The sequence below is a fragment of the Homo sapiens genome, chromosome 4 (assembly GCF_000001405.40).
Source record: "Homo sapiens chromosome 4, GRCh38.p14 Primary Assembly".
NCBI classification, from domain to species: Eukaryota; Metazoa; Chordata; class Mammalia; order Primates; family Hominidae; genus Homo; species Homo sapiens.
Window position 1 is genome coordinate 23,395,874 of NC_000004.12, and position 19,417 is coordinate 23,415,290.

Below are 19,417 nucleotides of genomic sequence, written 5' to 3' on the forward strand. Positions count from 1 at the left end.
GATCTCCTGACCTCGTCATCCACCAGCCTCGGCCTCCCAAAGTGCTGGGATTACAGATGTCAGCCACCGCACCTGGCCTGTTTTCTAGTTTTTTTAAGATACATGGTTAGACTGTTTATTTGAAGTTTTTCTACTTTTTTGATGTAGTTGCATATAGCTATAAATTTCTCTCTTAGTACTGCTTTTGCTGTATCCTATAGGTTTTTACATGTCATGTTTCCATTATCATTTGTTTCAAGAATTTTTCAATTTCCTTCTTAATTTCTTCATTGACCCACTGATCATTCAATATCATGTTGTATAATTTTCATGTGTTTGTATAGTTTCCAAAATTCCTCTGTTATTGGCTTCTAATTTTATTCCATTGTGATTAGAGAAGGTGCTCGATATTATTTCAGTTTTTTGGAATGTATTAAAACTTGTTTTGTGGGCTAACATATTGTCTATCCTTGACAATGATTCATGTGTTGAGGAAAAGAGTGTGTATACTGCAGTCATTGAATGAAATGTCCTGTAAACATCTATTTGGTACATTTGGTCTAAAGTGCAGTTTACATCTGATGTTTCTTTGTTGATTTTCTGTCTGGATGATCTTTCCAAAGGTAAAAGTGAGATGTTAAAGTCTCCAGCTATTATTGTAATTGAGGCCTATCTCTTTCTCTTTAGCTCTCATAATATTTGCTTATTTATTGCTCCAGTGTTGGGTGCATATATATGTACAATTGTTACATTCTCTTGCTAAATTAACCACTTTGTCATTATATAATGGCCTTCTTTGTCTCTTTTTATAGTTTTTGTCTTAAAATCTATTTTATGTGATATAAGTGTGGCCACTGCTGCTTTTTTTGTTCCCATTTGCGTGGAATATCTTTTTTTTATCACATTATTTTCAGTCTATGTGTGTCTTTATAGGTGAAGTGTGTTTCTTGTAGGCAAAAGATCATTGAGTTTCATTTTTTTTTAATAGATTTAGCCACTCCATGTCTTTTGATTGGAGAGTTTAGTCCATTTTCATTCAGTGCTCTTATTGATAAATAAGGACTTACTTTTGCTATTTTGTTGGTTGTTTTCTGTTTTTTTTTTTTTGTGGTCTTCTCTTCCTTCTTTCCTTCTGTCTTGTCTTCCTTTTAGACAAAGTGATTTTCTCTGGTGGTATATTTTACTTTTTATTTTTTGTATGTATGTTGTATGTTTTTTATTTGAGGTTACCATAAAGCTTGAAAATAAGTTCTTATAATCCATTGTTTTAAACTGATGACAACATAACACTGATTGCACAAACTAACAGACATGCAAATAAAAAATTAATAAAAACTCTACACTTCAACTGGATGCCCTCACTTTTAAACATTTTGTTTCTGTTTGTATCTTATTGGACTACCTATGTCTTGAAAAGTTGTTGTAGTTATTATTTTTGATCAGTTCAGTTTTTAGTCTTCCTATTTAAGATATGAGTGGTTTATACACCACAATTACAGTGTTATAATATCCTGTGTTTTTCTGTGTACTTACAATTGCTGGTGAGTTTTGTACCTTTAGGTGATTCTTATTGCTCATTAATATTATTTTCTTTCAGATTTAAGAACTCCTATTAGGATTTCTTGTAAAACAGCTCTGGTGTTGATGAAATCCCTTAACTTTTGTTTGTCTGAGAAGGTCTTTATTTCTTCTTTATGTTTGAAGGGTATTTTTGCCTGATATACTATTCTAGGGTAAAAAGGTTTTTTTTTCCTTCAGCACTTTAAATATATCATGGCATTCTATTCTGATCTGTAAGGTTTCCATTGAAAAGTCAGCTGCCAGACATATTGGTGTACCATTGTATGTTATCTGTTTCTTTTCACTTGCTACTTTTAAGATCCTTTCTTTACCTTGATCTTTGGGAGACTGATTATTAAATGCCTTCTTTGGATTAAATCTGCTTTGTGTTCTATCACCTTCTTTACTTAAATATAGATATTCTTCTCCAGGTTTGGAAAGGTCTCTTGTCATCCTTTTGAATAAACTTTCTACCTCTATCTCTCTCTCTCTCCCTCCTCTTTAAAGCCAGTAACTTAGATTTGGCCTTCTGAAAATATTTTCTAAATCTCGTAGGCATGCTTCAATCTTTTTTATTCTTTCTTTTGTTCCCTCTGACTTTTGTTTCCTTTGACTTTCAAATAGTCTGCCTTCAAGCTCACTAATTCTTTCTTCTGCTTAATCAATTCTCTTATTAACAGACTCTGATGCATTCTTCAGTATGTCAATTGCATTTTTCACCTCCAGAATTTCTGCTTGATTCTTTTTAATTGTTTCAATCTCTTTGTTAAATTTATCTGATAGGATTCTGAATTCTTTCTCTATGTTATCTTAAATTTCTTTGAGTTTCCTCAAAACAGGTGCTTTGAATTCTCTGAAAAGCCACATCTCTCTCTCTCTCTCTCTCTCTCTCTCTCTCTCTCTCTTTCTCTCTCTCTCTCACTCTTTCTCTGGGATTTGTTCCTGGGGTCTTATTATGTTTATTTGATGAGGTCATGTTTTCCTGAATGGTCTTGATGCTTGATGATATTCATTCGTGTCTGGACATTGAACAGTTATGTATTTATTGTAATCTTCACAGTCTGGGCTTGCTTATACCCATCCTTCCTTGGAAGGCTTTCCAGATATTCAAAGGGACTCGGGTTTTGTAATCCAAGTTTTTGATCACTGCTGCAATATCTGCAGCAGGGGCCACCACAAGCCCAGTAACATTGTGGCTCTTGCAGACTCACAGAAGTACCACCTTGGTAGTCTTGGATAACATCTGCAAGAATTATCTGTATTACCAGGCAGAGACTCTTATTCTCTTCTCTTAGTTTCCTCTAAACAAATGGAATCTCACTTTCTGTGCCGAGCTACCTGGAGCTGAGGGAGGGGTGACTCAAGCATCCATGTGGCCACTACTCTGGTATGGGCCAGATCTAAAGGATCACTGTGATCACTACCTACCACCTATGTCTACTCAAAGTCCTAAGGCTCTACAGTCTTCAGGTGGCAAAGCCAGCCAGGCTTATGTTGTTTCCTTCAGGGTGGCAAGATTCCCTGGCCTCATATTGTTCCTGATATGCCACCCAGGAAGCAAAGTGTAGAGTCAGAAACCTTAAAAACTTACCTGGTGCTCTGTTCTACTGCAGTTTAACTGGTCTTTAAACCACAAGACAAAGCTCTTCCTAGTCTTCCGTCCCCTTTCCACAGGCAGAGGAGTCTTTCCCTGTGGCCACCACCATCTCGAGCCCATGCACAATATTGCCATGCTACTGTCAATTTTCACTTAAGGCCCAAGGGCTCTTCAGTCAGCTTCTGGTGAATGCTGTCTTGCCTGAGACTCACCTTTCAAGGCAATGAGCTCCCCTCTGGCCCAGGGAAGGTCCAGAAATGCCATCCAAAATCCAAGGCCTGGAATCTGGGACCCCAAAAGCCTGCTTAATGTTATACCCCATTGTGGTGGAGTTGGTACTTAAGATGCAAGACTAAGTCCCCTTTAGTCTTCCCTCCACTTTTCTCAAGCAGAAGTAGTCGCTCCTCAGCCACTACAGCTGGGATTGTGCTAGGTCACACCAGAAAACTGAACATCTCAGAGTCTTGTGCAAGGCACAGGGTAAGTGCTGTCTGGGTACCACTGCTGATTATTCAGGGCCAAAGGACATTTTATTTGGAAATTGATAAATCCTGCCAAGACTGGGTCCTTTCCTTTAAGGCAGTGGGTTCCTTTCTAGTCCAGGGTGTGCTAGAAATGTAGTCTCAGAAATAGGGCCTGCAATGCGGGCCTCACAAGTCGTCCCAGTGCCCTATCCTACTGTGGCTGAGCTAGTACCCAAGTTGCAAGACAAAGTTCTCTTTACTCTTCCATCTCCTCTTGTCAAGCAGAACAAAGGACTCTCATTCAGAGCTGTGACCTGCACTGCATGGGGTTGGAAAAAGGGTGCAGGCACTCCCTTAGCTGCCCTGGCTGGTGTTTCACTAGTTTGCATGCCCCCGGAGTCCACTAGCTTTGAACCCAGCACATCACTAGACTTGCCTAAGAGTTACAGTCATTGTGGCCTAGACTGCCTTTCAAGTTTATTTAGGATCCCAGAGTACTATAGCCTACAATGGCAAGGCTTGCAGAAACTCAAGTTTTATCCACTGAGATGTGCAATTCCCCTCTGGTTAGGGCTCATCTAAATGCTCCCTCCCTGGACGCTGGATGAGTTCTGCCTGATGATACTTTCTGCTGTGACAGGGCAGAACTATGTTCCAGTGCATAGTTCCCACAATTACTGCATTACTGCAGTCCCCCACCACCAAATGCAGATTCTCTACACCACATGGCCACTGCTGGAGGGCGGGGGAGGAGTGGTGTTGGCCACTCAAGACTGTCTTTCATCACTCTTCAATGCCTCTTTCATCAATATAAAATTAAAATCAGTTACTATAATTGCTCACCTGATTTTTTATTCTTTTGAAGGTGATTTTTTTTTCTGTACATAGTTGTTAAATTTGATGTTGCAGTGGGGAGTACAATCAGCGAAGGCTTCTATTTGGCCGTATTACACCACCTCCTCTCTTAGTAAAGGAAAAATTTAAAAATGAAAACTTTTTTTTTATTTAATTTAAATTTTTCAAAAAATGTTTAATTTTTTGTACTCAATTTTATTTTTTGCCTTTTATCTAAATTTGAATTATTATTTCTGCCTTTATTGTCACACTTAACATACCAAAATTAAATTTCTCATTTAAATAGAAGTACTTTTATGGTTGTATACTTTATATTTAAATTTTTCATGCTAGCTTTTTAAGTTTTAATTTTGGTACAAGTCATGAGTTGGGAATCAATTCTGTTCCAAAGGATCAGGCAGTTGTTTGAACACCATTCATTGTCATTTAATTTTAGTCATACATTAAATTAATAGATGTATTTGTCTATTTCTGCTCTGTCTAGCTTTAATAATATGTTGCTTACTTCTCCAATAAGAAGACTTTAATTATGGCAGCTTTAAGCAATTATTTCAATATTTGGTAAAGAAAGTCTTCTTTTATTATTCCTCTTTTCAAATTTAATTTTAACTTGTGAAGAGTGTTTTCCGGACAAATTTTTCACATAGATTTTTTTAATAAGAAAAATAATTCTACTAGAGTTTCTGACTGTCATAAAATATATAAGTTAATCTAGAATTCTATATTTATTAATTTAATCACCATCTTCTTCATGTCCTCCATTGATTTTCTGTCAACATTCTCATGATGGTATAATATGTCTCTTTTAATATTTATTTTAGTTGCTTATATTTCTGTCACTAATTCAATAGGGTATTTTGTCTTGAAAATATTTTCTACCTGGCTAATATTGGTATACAAGAAGGCTCTTATTCTTTCAAATGTCTCATAATTGTTCGTGTTCTAAATTCTTTTATTAATTCAAATAATTGTTCCATTGATTTTTTGAGAGGTGTACATTTATAATATTTACAATTATGTTTTGTTTAAATGTTCACTATTTATAACACGTTTTAAAATTTTAACTTAATTATATTGGAAAGTATGGAGAATCATAACAAAATTTCCCTGTGCTGACTTTGACATGACTTTTTCCAGTAACTTGCCTTTAAACATCATCGTTGTTATTAGTTTAGGATAGACTACTTAAATGTTGCTACACTTTATTTTGAGTGGATATTTGCGGGTTTTGTTTTTTTTTTTAAATCAAAAGTGAATTTTAGGCCAGGCACGTTGGCTCATGCCTGTAATCTCAGCATTTTGGGAGACTGGCAGGAGGATTACTTGAGCCTAGGAGTTCGAAACCAGCCTGGACAAGATAGCAAGACCTCTTTTGTACCAAAAATAAACATAATACTAAAACAATAGCTGGTGCCAAACACCTGTAATCCCAGTTCCTTCCGAGGTTACTGTGGGAAGATAGCTTGAGCCAAGGAGGTAAATGCTGCAGTGAGTCATGATCCTGCCACTGCACTCCAGCCTGGGAGATCCTGTTTCAAAAAAAGAAGTGAATTTTAAATAACAGATGCAGGAATATAAAATCTACAGTCATGCAGCCTGTGTTCTAGCAATGTTGCTACTCACAGAAAACATTAAGAAAATTATTCAATTAATTGTAACTTTGAATTTCTCATTTGAAAAGTGTCAATGATAATGTTTCTATTATCTTTCTACTCAGAAAATTAGGTAAGGTAATTCTTGTGAAATTATTACTTGACAATGCTGGGCAATGTTAAGTGCTAAATAAATATTAGTATTATTATTTACCATGATTATCTCCTTGTTTTCCCCTGAAAATGTTTAATTTAATGAGTAGATATCAAATACATTTCTCGAAAATTGAAAAAGTGTCTGGCCTGTAGTAAACAATAACTTCTAGCATCACTATTGATGATATTAAATTATGGCTTTATCTAAATTAACAAACACTGCAAGGATGTTACTTTTTTTCCTAAATATGTGGATTTTTTTAGTTATATTTTGGTCATTTTTTTCTAGCTTAATTCTACTTTTGTCAAAGAATATCTCTTCAACTTTTCACGCCTTTGATATTTGTTTGTACATGCTCTTTGTCATACAATATAGTAAGTTTTGGTAAATGTTCTCTGTGATCTGAAAAAGGAAGTGTATTTTGAAGTTCTTGAGTTCAGTGTTCTGTATTTGTCAATTAAACCATGTATATTTCTATATATTTATTGATGTTTTTGTGCATTTGTTCTCAGATAATGAGAGGTGTGTTAAAATTCCCACTATGATTCAGATGTATTTCTTTTTAGTGCTGTGAGTTTTTACTTTATTTGATATTTTTAAGTGAGTTACTGGAGCACGCCATTTTAGAATCACTATTTCTTTCTGGTTAATTGACCATTGTATCTTTGAACTATTCCTCTATCATGAACGTGTATATTTTTGTGCTCAATTCTTCATTGTTAGACATTTATTTAGCTAAACTATCTTTCTTTTACTGTTTAGATACTAGGTTTAGATTATAAATGTGTATGAAGTTGCTTTTATCTTAGTCATTGTTTTGAGATTGTAACATGAATCCTTGCCTTAATACAGTCTAATATAAATTGATTTTTACAATGTTTAAAACACTTTAATTTCTTTTTCTCCTTTTCCTGATACATGAGCTAGTGTTGTAATATGTTTTAATTTTATTTATATAAACCAACAATATTCATTTTTGGTTTTTAAATATATTTTATGTTTTTTCCATTTGAATCTTTTTTATTTTTATTTTAGTTTAGATTCAGGGAGTACATGCATAGGTATCTCACATAGGTATACCTCATAATTCTGAGGTTTGGGTTATGGATGGTTCCATCACCCAGGTACTGAGCATAGAACCCAATAGGTAGTTTTTCAGCACAAGATCCTCTCCCTACCATTCTCCTCTAGCAGTCCTCAGTGTCTATTATTCTCCTATTTGTGTCCATGTATATTCAATGTTTATTTCCTATTTATAAGTGAGAACATGCAGTATTTGGTTTTCTGTTTCTGTGTTAATTTGCATATGATAATGGCCTGCAGCTGAATCCATGTTGCTAATAAGGACAAGATTTTACTCTTTTTCATGGTCGTGTAGTCTTCCATGTATATGTACCACATTTTATTTATCTTATCCACTGATGATGTTAATATGGTTTGGATCTCTGTCCCTGTCCAAATCTCATGTCAAACTGTAATCCCCAGTGTTGGAAGTGGGGCCTGGTGGCAGGTGATTGTATCATGGGGATGGAGTTCTCATGAATGGTTTAGAACCAACCCTTTGGTGCTGTTTTCCTGATAGCATTCTCATGAAATCTGGTTGTTTAAAAATATGTGGTGTCCCCCGACCCCATCTCACTCCCTTTCTTCTGCTCAGGCTATGTAAGACATGCCTGCTTTCCATTACCCTTCTACCATGAGTGAAAGTTTCCTGAGGCCTTTCCAGAAGCCGTCATGCTTCCCGTACAACCCACAGAACTATGAGCCAGTTAAAACTCTTTTCTTTATAAAGTAACCAGACTCAGGTATTACTTTATAGCAGTACAAGAGAAAACTAATACAAATGGGCACCTAGATTGATTCCATGTCTTTACTATTGTGAATAGCACTGAGATGAACACAAAAGTACATGTGTCTTTTTAGTAGAACAATTTATTTTCCTTTGAGTGTATACCCAGTAATGGGATTGCTATGTCAAATGGTAGCTCTGTTTTAAATTTTTTTTAAATTCTCCAAACTGCTCCCCACAGTGCCTGAATTAATTTGTATTCCCACCAACAGTGTATAAGCATTTCCTTTTCTCCACAGCCTTGCCAGCATCTGTTATTTTTTGACTTTTTACTAATTTCCATTCTGACTAGTATATAATTATTGTTTTGATTTGCATTTCTCTGATCAGTGATGTTGAGCATTTTTTCATATGTTTGTTGGCTGCTTGCATGTATCTTTTGAGAAGTATCTGTTCAAGTCTTTTGCCCATTTCTTAATTGTGTTATTTGATTTTTCCTTGTTGATGTTTAATTTCCTTGTAGATTCTGGATATTAGATCATTTTCAGATGTATAGTTTGTAAATATTTTCTCCCAATCTGTAGCCTGTTTGTTTACTCTGTTGATACTTTATTTTACTATGCAAAAGCTCTTTAGTTTAATGAGGTATCACTTGTTAATTTTTGTTTATGTTGCAATTGCTTTAGAGAGCTTAGCCATAAATTCTTTCCCAAAACCAATATCGAGAAGGGTATTTACTAGATTTTCTTCCAGGATTTTTACAGTTTGAGGTCTTGCACTTAAATATTTTATCCATATTGAGTTAATTTTTGTATATGGTGAAAGGTAGAGAACCAGTTACATTCTTCTGCATATGGCTAGCCACCTATCCTAGCACCATTTATTTAATAGGGAGTCCTTTTCCCATTGCTATTTTCATTGACTTTGTCAAAGATCAGATGGTTGGAGGTGTGTGGCTTTATTTCTGGATTCTCTATTCTGTTTCATTGGTCTACATATCTGTTTTTGTATGAATGCCATACTGTTTTGGTTGCTGTAGCCTTATAGTATAGTTTGAAGTGAGTAATGTGATCCTTGCAGCTTTATTCCCTTTGCTTAGGATTGCTTTGGATGTTTGGGTTTATTTTGGGTTCCATGTGAATTTTAGAATAGTTTTTTTTTTTCTAATTCAGTGAAAAAAAGAGGCATTTTGATAACAATAGCACTGAATCTGTACATTTTATTGGGCAGTTTGGCATTTTAGTGTTATTGTTTCTTTTAATCCATGAACATGGAATAGTTTTTCCATTTATTTTTGTCATCTCTAATTTCTTTCAGATGTGTTTTGTAGTTCTCCTTGTAAAGACGTTTTACCTCCTTGTTTCTGTGTATTTCTAGGTATTTCATTTTTGGTGGCTATTGCAAATGGGATTGTGTTCGTGATTTGGCTCTCAGCTAGAATGTTATTAGGGTAGAGAAACACTACTGATGTTTTTACACTGATATTATATTCTGAAACTTCACTGAAATTGTTATGCAGGAGACTGTTAGAGTCTTTAGCTTTTTCTATGTATAGGATCATGTCATCAGCAAAGATAGTTTTACTCCTTTTCCTATTTAAAATCATTTTATTTCTGTCTTTTGCCTGATTGCTCTGGCTAAGACTTCCAGAATTATGTTGAATAGGAGTGGCGAGAGTGGTCTTGTTCTGGTTCCCAAGAGGAATAGTTTTAGCTTTTGCCCATTCAGTATGATGTTGGCTGTGGGTTTCTCATAGATGGCTCTTACTATTTTGAGGTACGTTCTTTCAATGCCTAGCCTGTTGGGGGATTTATCCTGAAAGGATGTTGAGTTTTATCAAAGGCTTTTCTTTGCATCTATTGAGATAATAATGTAATTTTTGTTTTTGATTCTGTTTATGCAGAATCACATTTATTGATTTGTATATGTTGAACCAATCTTGTGTCCCAGGAATAAAGCCCACTTGATCATGCTGAAGTAACTTTTTGGTGTGCTGCTGTAGTTGATTTGCCAGGATTTTGTTAAGGTTTTTACACCTATGTTCATTAGGAATATTGGCTTGAAGTTATCTTGTCTCTGCCAGATTTTGGTATCAGGATGATGCTGGCTTTGTAAAATGAGTTAGGGAGGAGTCCTACCTCCTTATTTTTTGAAATATTTTCAGACGGATTGCTGTCAGTATTTTGCACTTCTGGTAGAATTTGGCTGTGAATCCATCTGGTCCATATGTTGTTGTTGTCGTTGCTGTTGTTGTGAGATTGTTTTATTACTGATTCAGATTGTGGGACTTGTAATTAGTCTGTTCAGGTTCTCACTTTCTTTCTGGTTCAATATTGTGAGGTTGTGTGTTTCCATAACAGGCTCTGAAGATATTTTGTATTTTTTGGGATTGTTTGTAATGCCATCTTTGTCATTTCTAATTGTGTTTGTTTTAATCTTTTTTCTTCTTTGTTAATCCAGTTAGCATTCTATCAATCATGTTTATTCTTTTGAAGAACTGACTCTTGGTTTCATTGAGCTTAAAATGGACTTTTGCATCTCAATTACATTAAGATCTTCTCTGATTTAGTTATTTATTTCTTTTGCTATCTTTGGAGTTTTTTTTTTTCTTGTTCCTCTAAGTGTGACATTACATTGTTAATTTGAGATCTTTCTAACTGCTTGATGGAGACATTTAGCACTGTAAACTTTCCTCTTAACACTGCTTTAGTTGCAACCCAATTAGTTTGGTAAGTTGAGTCTCTGTTTTCATTAATTTCAAATAGTTTTTTATTGCCACCTTAATTTTGTTGTTCACCCAAGAGTTATTTAGGAGCAAGTTTCTAATTATCATGTTTTTGCATAGTTTTGAGAGTTGTTCTTTTTAATAATTTCTATTTTTACTGCACTGTGGTCCAAGAATGTTGTTGGTATAATTTCTACATTTTTGAATTTATTGAGACTGGCTTTATGACTGAGCATGTGGTCAATCTTAGAATATGTTTCATATATGGATGAGAAGAATGCTGTATTGTTGGGTAGAGTATTCCGTAGACGTCTCTGATGTCCAATTGGTCAAATGTTGAGTTTAAGTTCTGAATTTCTTTGTTATTTTTCTTCCTCAATTTTTTTTGTGTCTAATTCTATCGGTAGGGTATTGAATTCCCCTGCTATTATTGTATGACTGTGTATGTGTTTTCATAGGTTAAGAAAAACTTGTTTTATGATTCTGGGTGCTCCTATGTTGGATGCATACATATTTATGATAGTTAAGTCATCTTGTTGAATTGAACCCTTTATTATTGTTTAACGCCCTTCTTTGGTCTTCCTGATCGTTGTTGGTTTATAGCCTGTTTTATCTGGTATGAGAATGATGACTCCTGCTCTTTTATGTTTTTCCCTCTTTTTTGTTTCTCCATCCATTTACTTTAAGCCTGTGAGTGATGTTACATGTGACATGGGTTTCTTGAAGACAGCAGACAGTTGGGTCATGTTTTTTATTCAGCTTGCCACTCTGTGCCTTTTAAGCTGGTGTTTAGACCACTTACATTCAACATTAGTATTGATATGCAAGATTTTGATCCAGTCATTGTGTTGTAAGCTGGTTGTTTTGTAAACTTGATCATATAATTGTCTTATATTGTCTGTGTGCTATGTGCTTCTGTGTTTTTTTGTGGTAGCAGGTATCAATCTTTCATTTCTATGTTTAGCATTCCCTTAAAGACCCTTTTTAAGGCTGGTATAGTGGTAACAAATTTCCTTAGTGTTTGCTTTTTTGATAATGTTTTAATTTATCCTTCCTTTATGAAGATTCATTTAGAAGAATATAAAATTCATGGTTGAAATTTTCTTTGAAGATGCTGAAAATAGGCCCCTAATCTCTTCTGGATTGTAAAGTTTCTGCTGAGATCTGCTGCTAACCTAATAGGGTTCCTTTTGTAAGTGACCTGAACTTTCTTTCTAGCTGCTTTTAAGACTTTTTGTGAGTGTTGACATTGGTGAATCTGATGACTGTGTGTTTTGGAGACATTTGCCTTCATAGTATCTCACAGGGGTTCTCTGTATTTCTTGAATTTGTATGTCTACTTCTCTAGCCATATTGGGAAAATTTTTATGGGCTGTATCCTCAACTATGTTTTCCAAGTTTCTTACTCTCTCTCCCTCTCTCCTTCTCTCTCAGGAATGCCAGTGAGTCATAGATTTGTGTCTTTATATAATCCTATATTCTTAGAGGTTTATTCATTTTTTAAAATTCTTTTTTAAAAATTTTTGTCTGAGTTAATTTCAAGAACTAGTCTTCAAGTCTGAGAATATTTTCTCATCATGGTCTATTTTTCTGTTAATGCTTATGACTATATTATGAAATCTTTGTAATAGTGAATTCTTCAATTCTAGAAGTTCAGTTTGGTTCTTTTTTTAATATGGCTGTTTTGTCTTTCAACTTTTGGATCTTTCTTACTGGGTTCCTTGTTTTCCTTGGATTGGGTTTCAACTTCCTCCAGGTTCTTGATGAGCTTTTTGACGTCCAGATTCTGAATTCTACATCTGTCATTTCAGTCATTTCAATCTATTTAAGAACCATTGCTGGGTTCTAGTGTGTTTGAAGGTAAAAAAACACACTGGCTTTTTAAATTGCCAGAATTCTTTCACTTATTATTTCTCATCTGAGAGGGCTAGTGTTTCTTTAACTGTGATGTAGGTTGAGTGTAGTCAATTGGCTTCATTTCTGGATGCTTTCAAAAGGTCAAGGATCTATAAAGGATCTCAATTTGTGGCTGAAGATTTCCTTAGGTTTTACAGGCACCTGTGTACTGGCAGAATATTTTTGGCATTGTAATTTGGACCGTGATACAGTAGGTGGTGCTTAAGAATGACAGCTGACAGATAGGCTCTTATTCAGCCACATGGCTCTTATTCAGCCACATGGCTCTTCTGCATTTCAACATGTTCACTTATGCTGTGTGATCAGGAAGAAAATGGATGACTGTCCCTCACCAGGTCTACTCTTAAGCTTTAAATTAGCCACCACTGATCACTGATAGCACATCCACATTTTCTTTTGTATTAGTTTGTTCTCACACTGCTAATAAAGACATACCCAAGATTGGGTAATTTATAAAGGAAAGAAGTTTAATTGACTCACAGTTGAGCATGGCTGTGGAGGCCTCAGGAAATTTACAGTCATGGCAGAAGGGGAAGCAAACAAGTCCTTCTTCACGTGGCAGCATCAAGGAGAAGTGCAGAGCAAAGGTGGGGAAATCCCCTCATATAACCACCAAATCTTGTGAGAACTCACTATCATGACAGCAGCATGGAGGTAACAGCCCCCATGATTCAATTACCTCCCACCGGGTACCTCCCACAACATGTGGGTATTGTGGAAACTACAATTCAAGATGAGATTTGAGTGAGGACACAGCCAAACCATATCACTTTTTAATGTGTTCCAGGCCTCCAGGCTGTGGGACTCCCTCAGACAGTGGCCATGGATGGCTGACAGGACGCATTCTTCCCAGTCTGGCCCTGTGAAGGTAGGCATGCCCCATTCCTCCACCAGCCCAAGAACATGGGTATCTCAACCCTCTCAGTGTTCTGAGAATGGGGGCTACTCTTCTGCTCAGGGACTTCCCATGTTGGTAAGTCTTGCCTGATTAGGAGCAGTAGGGGTGGGAGGCCACACATCTCTGGATGTTTTCTAGGGGAACACAGCTGTGCCCACCTACAGATTTCAAGCGGGGGCAGGGTCACTGTGCTGGAAGCCCAAGCTCAACAGTCTAGCCTGGCTAGCTCATTGTTGTTTGGAACAGTCAATATTTGTTTGTATTTACAAACATTTCTAGCCATTTTATTCACTTTTATTCATTCTTTGGATGATTTTCTTTCTGCCTAAACACATTTAACATTTCCTTTACTGAATGACTTTACCGCCAATCCAATGGCAGCTATTGGTTTTGTTTTTTGTTTGTTTGAAAATATCTTCATGCTCTTTTAAAACATCAATTTCTGGGTATTGAATTTTAAGATTGCAAGGTTTTTATCAGAAATTTTAAGATTTCATTTCATTGCCTTCTGGCTTCTGTTGATTCTGTTGAGCATTTGTCATATTATTACTTCAGTGAATGCAATGTGTCCTCTCTGGATTTTTTTTTTAAGATATTGACTTTGGTTTTCAGCAGTTTTACTATAATATGACTGACTGTGGGTTTGCTTGTTTGTTTTTGCATTCATTCTGTTTGAGATTTGTAACTTTCTTATCTCTTATATTGATATCTTTCAATAGTTTTATAAGGTTTTCAGCCATATATCTGCCAATATTGCCTATTTTAATCTTCTTCCTCTCTGATATTTCAATTATATGTATATTAGAACTTGTCATTGTATCGCATTTGTGTCTAATGCCTTTTTTCTGTTGTCCATCTATTTGTCTCTTCACATTTCAGTCTGTCTATTTTTCCTGACTTGTCTTCCAGTTCACTAATTTTCTCTTCAGTTATCTAACCTTCTAAAAGCATCTACTGAATTATTTCAGTTATTTTATCTTCAGTTCTATAATTTTTATTTTATTGTCAATTATACGTTTTATGTCTCCTTAAAAAAAGTTCCATCTTGTTATATAATTACTTGAATGTAGTAAACATAGATATTTTTAAGTGTGTGTCTAATAAATTCTATCTGTGCATCTCCCATGGATCTATTTCTCTTTCTCATTTTATTTTATTGATAGTTCCATGAAATAGTGTCTTCCCATATACTAGTTTATATGTGATTGTTATGTATTGCATATAAATTTGTAGTAAAATAATTTTGTAAATTATATTACATTTCTCATAAGATTTACATATTTTTTTCTATTTGATTGCTATATTGTGGGCATATATGCCTTTTTTTAATGCAGTTGCTTGTCATCATCCTCTGTAGCACATGACAACATACCTCTAGGAACCAAAATATCTAATGCCCAGAAGTCAGTAAGGGGTTAATTGGACAATGAATGCATTCACCTTCAGGTATTACATACGTTTTATAGTTCAGAAATGAGTGTTACAGAAATGGAAATAGACTATTTTTCTTTGTAAATATTATCACTTTTTACATCTTTATCTTGTACTCATTGACTCAGATGTCTACCTCTACCTTATTCATTCACTTCTTCCACTGACCCAGGGAGGAGAGAAGATCCTGGATTCACAGAACCTAAAAAAGAGAAGGAGAATATAAATAAAAAACTATAATAAATTAAAACATGCTCTGATAAGTGATGTTAAGAATGTTGTGGACTCTCTGCAAGATATTATTTGTGTCATGTGACAGAATTTATTAAATCAATTAAGTCCTAGATGGTGACATATAAATAACTTTGCCATTATTTGCGTGCTTAGAAGTATCCTCTGAACACAAAAGGGAAAACTGGGCAAAATAAGTGATCTAATATAATGTTTATCAAAATGCAGGATGCGTGGTTCCATAGTGTTATAATTAAATAATATTAAATCACAGACTGAAAGAGTTATTGCCTTTAATTTTTTTCAATACTGATCTCAAGAGAAAGTCCGAGGTATTGTTTTACTTGTTAATCTCTTCTCTTAAAGAAAGTGCAGATTCCCAGCTCTGAGCATTTGGCAGGCAACAGTATCTATCTAGAATTTAATAACATTGTCCGTGTCTGTTGTTTTTTATTGCATTTGTTTGTATTGTTATATTTTATTTATTACAAGTGGTACAAGTTTTCTTTCTGTGTTAGTGATTTTTTTTTTACTTTTAAAGATAGTATGTTAGTTAAAAAGTGAATCAATACAAAATGTAAACTATTAGATTGAAGCATATGAAATTCTCAATATTTACCCATTTTTGAACTACAAAAATGACAATATTACATGATGCAAACTAATTGTAATAATATAGGTGGGGTGTGATAAGGGAACTTTTGTGATGATGTAGAAGAATGGCTGAAATCTGGGAATACTTATAATATAATGGGTAGCTTTTACAGGCACTCCTATGGGTAACACTGACTAAAAGAGCTTTTTCTTTTGTCCTCTCCTTATGTGTGCAAATCCTTTTATTTTAACAAGAAGAGTGAGAACTGACTTTGATTTCAGCCTTCAAGCCAGCAATGACCCATATACTGTCATTCTCTAATCTGGTATATTAATTCACCAGATATTGAAAAGAACTAGCAAAATGAGAGGTTGAACACTATGCCATGGGCCATGAGCCCAAATATGACTTCAACATCTAATTGGCTTGTATATCTAAAAGTTTGAGATTATTTAGAGAAAGCTACTTTATAATACAAAAAAGGCATAATAGTCTAATTAAAACCACAATGTGAACTGAGCAAAGACCAGCGGGGGAAAGAGAGTGGGGGGAGTTGTTAGCGAAGTTGATCCTCATCAATTACCAAGCTTCTACAGACAAAAGCCCTATTTCTATTATAATTCAGCTGTTTGGTCTTATTGCTAGATGAGTTATATCAAGAAGTTGTAGAAGGAAATTGCTCACAACCAAAGGGCTTGTACAGAATACAAATGAAAAAAATTCAGAGCTATCAATATATAATCTCTGAAAGTGAGATTTCAAAGCTAAAAATCAGAAAGTTATGAAATGAAAAAGCAAATTATAAATGCATTCCAAGAATGTGAGAAAATGAAAATGGAAGAGAACTTGAGGGAAAGCTTCTTAAGAGGGGAAAAAAATTAATTCCTCTATCACTAGTTTATCTTTTCTTGGTTAGAGAATTCACCCAGCCCTTTCCCGTGGCCGTGAAAATTGATGCAGTGCTACATATACATTTAAAATGTAAAATGAAGGAAGAAAATAAATAAGTGAGGCCACAATTTCCAAACCAAGAGAAAGAGAAAATGGAACATCATAAAACTATAGAAGCAAAGAGGAAAATCAATAAAATTCAATGCAGCACATCTTCCCGCTCACTTCTGAGCATGCAAGGTCTGCTCATCTGGAATGCACCAGGTGTACGGTATGTGCTATAAATCTTTCAAGTCTTCAGAAATATGATCTACCATTAGAAGCACTAAAAAATACCAGTTGGCTTCACTAATTGTGGTTTTTGCTTTCATCCAGACTTGGGTATTGAGCAGCATCCTGGGTACTTTGTGTCCATGTTAGTCAGAGAGGAGGTAGAGAGATACTAAGGATGGTGTTCTTACCATAAATTGCTGGCTCTCACTCTCTCAATCCGAAGTCAGAGAATATGAGAATGGAGAGTCTCTTTTACTCCTCCTCCATGTGCAGCAATCTCATTCCTATATCAGGATATTAAGATCTCACCACTTCATTCTATCCCTGTGATTGACTGTTTTAATGATTTCAAAATTGGCTTCCCGTGAAAATAATCTGAGAAGTCTTTATTCATGCAAATTTTTGAGCCTCACCTTCATCGCCTTCCCCCAAAAGTGATACTGCCTTGGAATTTCCATAAATCTTCATTTATTAAAAATTCAGTATTCTGATATAGCCAGTCATAGAAACACATTTGCGTATCGTTGTGGAAAATTCTTCATTCCTCCCTTTAATCCTTATAATGAGCAAGATTTATACCATCCTGCTCTACCTTTGAAGAAGAGAATCTCTATAAAATCCTTCCCTGTCCTCCCAAAGTTGTGAAAATATCCCCACCTTAATTAATCTTACCTCCTCCACATATGTTCTTCAAGTATCTCATCTATTTTCTTTTAGTCTCTTATTAAATTCTGGTGTCTTATGTCCATTAAGTTCCAACATAAATGCTGCACGACGTAAAATGATTCTGAAGGCTGGCTAGCCTTTACTGGCATCACATTTCTCCCAGCTTGAATTTATTTCTCGAAAGCTGGAAACATATTTTTACTATTGAGCCTCATAGTCTGACAAAAAAAAAAAGACGTAAAAAAAAAAATCTTAGCCATTGAGCATTATGAAAAAAGCAAACTGCACTATTCCACATTTCCCAAGTGGCTCATTAAAAGCACTTCCTCATGTTACTTAAAGCATTACAGAGAATTCCAATAAAGTTCCAGTGTTTGGATCAACATTCTAGCAGAGTTCACTGCACGGCTCCTGGTGGCTGGGATCTTGCCTAAGAAAGACTATTTAGTGGTGTGCTTTATTGTATGGCCTAGAATGAGGGTGCTAAGTCTTGCCCAGTTGTTATTTCATGGCTTCTTACCACTACACCCTATCTTATGGATATATTTTGATGGATTCAGGATGTCAGGCCATAGTTTTACTACATGCCACAATATTTGAATTTCTTGGCTAGATAGAAAGTGGCACAAACAAGTCAGGTGGCCTAGACACACCTCTCCTAGTAGTAAATTATGTGATAATATAGGCTATCTATCTCTCAGGTCTTCAATATATTTAGCTATCAATAGATGGCATGGGTCAAGACAAATAGCCTTCAAGCTTTTTTTCAGGCATATCAAACAATATAACAAACTCTTCTAAAATAGAACATTAACAAAACCAGTAGCAAACTCTTTAATATTAAAAATCCTTTCTCCCCCAACAGAATGGTAGCACAGGTAAACATAACCTATCCTGAATTACTGTATATCATTCTCTTGTTCATCTTTAGAATTTTAAAGTGTTTGTAGCCTTAAACATAGATATTCTTAGTTTTTATGTATGGTTCATATTCAGTCTCATAAAATATATTCTTCAGTGACTCGTTTGTGTTCATTATTATTCTCTTATATATACACCAAAATATATATGTTATTTCTTATGTTGTGAGATATTTGTGTTAGAACCAGCTACTTCTATTAAAATTTTATATACCTATCTTAGTGGCCATGTGTGTGAACTTTTAAAAAGTATAAAGAAATAATGTTGGATCTTAGGATATACTCATCTTCAACTTTACCAGGCCATTTCAAATCACTTTTAAAATTAGCCATATCAATCCATACTCCAAATAGCTCTGTATGAAAATTCCTGTTGTTCCAAGTATTATCAATACTTATTATTCCTGTTTTTTTTTTAATTTTTATCTTGCTTTCACTAGCAGCAACAATTAGACAGAGTTTGATGGCAAAAGAAGACTCACAAAATCCAAAGTCACAATGCTTACAAATTTATGTTTTATTGTAGAATAGTAATAACAAAATAATAACAAAGTAAGGATATGTATCAATGACAAAGACTGCCTCATGGCAAGAGGTGAGAAATGATAAGCATGAGTTCCAGTTGTCTTCTCTTGTAAAGGCCACACTGAATACATCCTTTTTTTCTTAAGGTCAACTAACATGTGCACAGCACACCTCAGAAACAGAAAGTGCAATACAGAGTTTTATCCCAGTGTTTTACCGTCTTGATTACATAAGCACATTTTTTTTTCTACATAACCAGTCTCAAAGGCACATCTTTCTTGGAGGGTCTCATCAAAACCAAATGAAAATAATCAATGCTCTTGTTGTTAATAAACAAATAGTGACAAGCTGA

At 34.9% G+C, this 19,417-nt stretch overlaps 2 long non-coding RNA genes across 2 annotated transcripts in view; one reads left to right on the forward strand and one right to left on the reverse strand.

The window, feature by feature from the left end:
• LOC105374523 (uncharacterized) overlaps window positions 1–4,535 on the reverse strand; it is a 97,876-nt gene extending 93,341 nt beyond the window's left edge. Inside the window, exon 1 of the long non-coding RNA XR_925461.2 lies at window positions 4,444–4,535. This is a non-coding gene — a long non-coding RNA (uncharacterized LOC105374523). The remainder of the gene's footprint in view (window positions 1–4,443) is intronic.
• The window catches only part of LOC105374524 (uncharacterized), a 507,306-nt gene that overhangs the window by 398,342 nt on the left and 89,547 nt on the right, over window positions 1–19,417 (forward strand). Inside the window, exon 18 of the long non-coding RNA XR_007058437.1 lies at window positions 13,423–13,503. This is a non-coding gene — a long non-coding RNA (uncharacterized LOC105374524). The remainder of the gene's footprint in view (window positions 1–13,422; window positions 13,504–19,417) is intronic.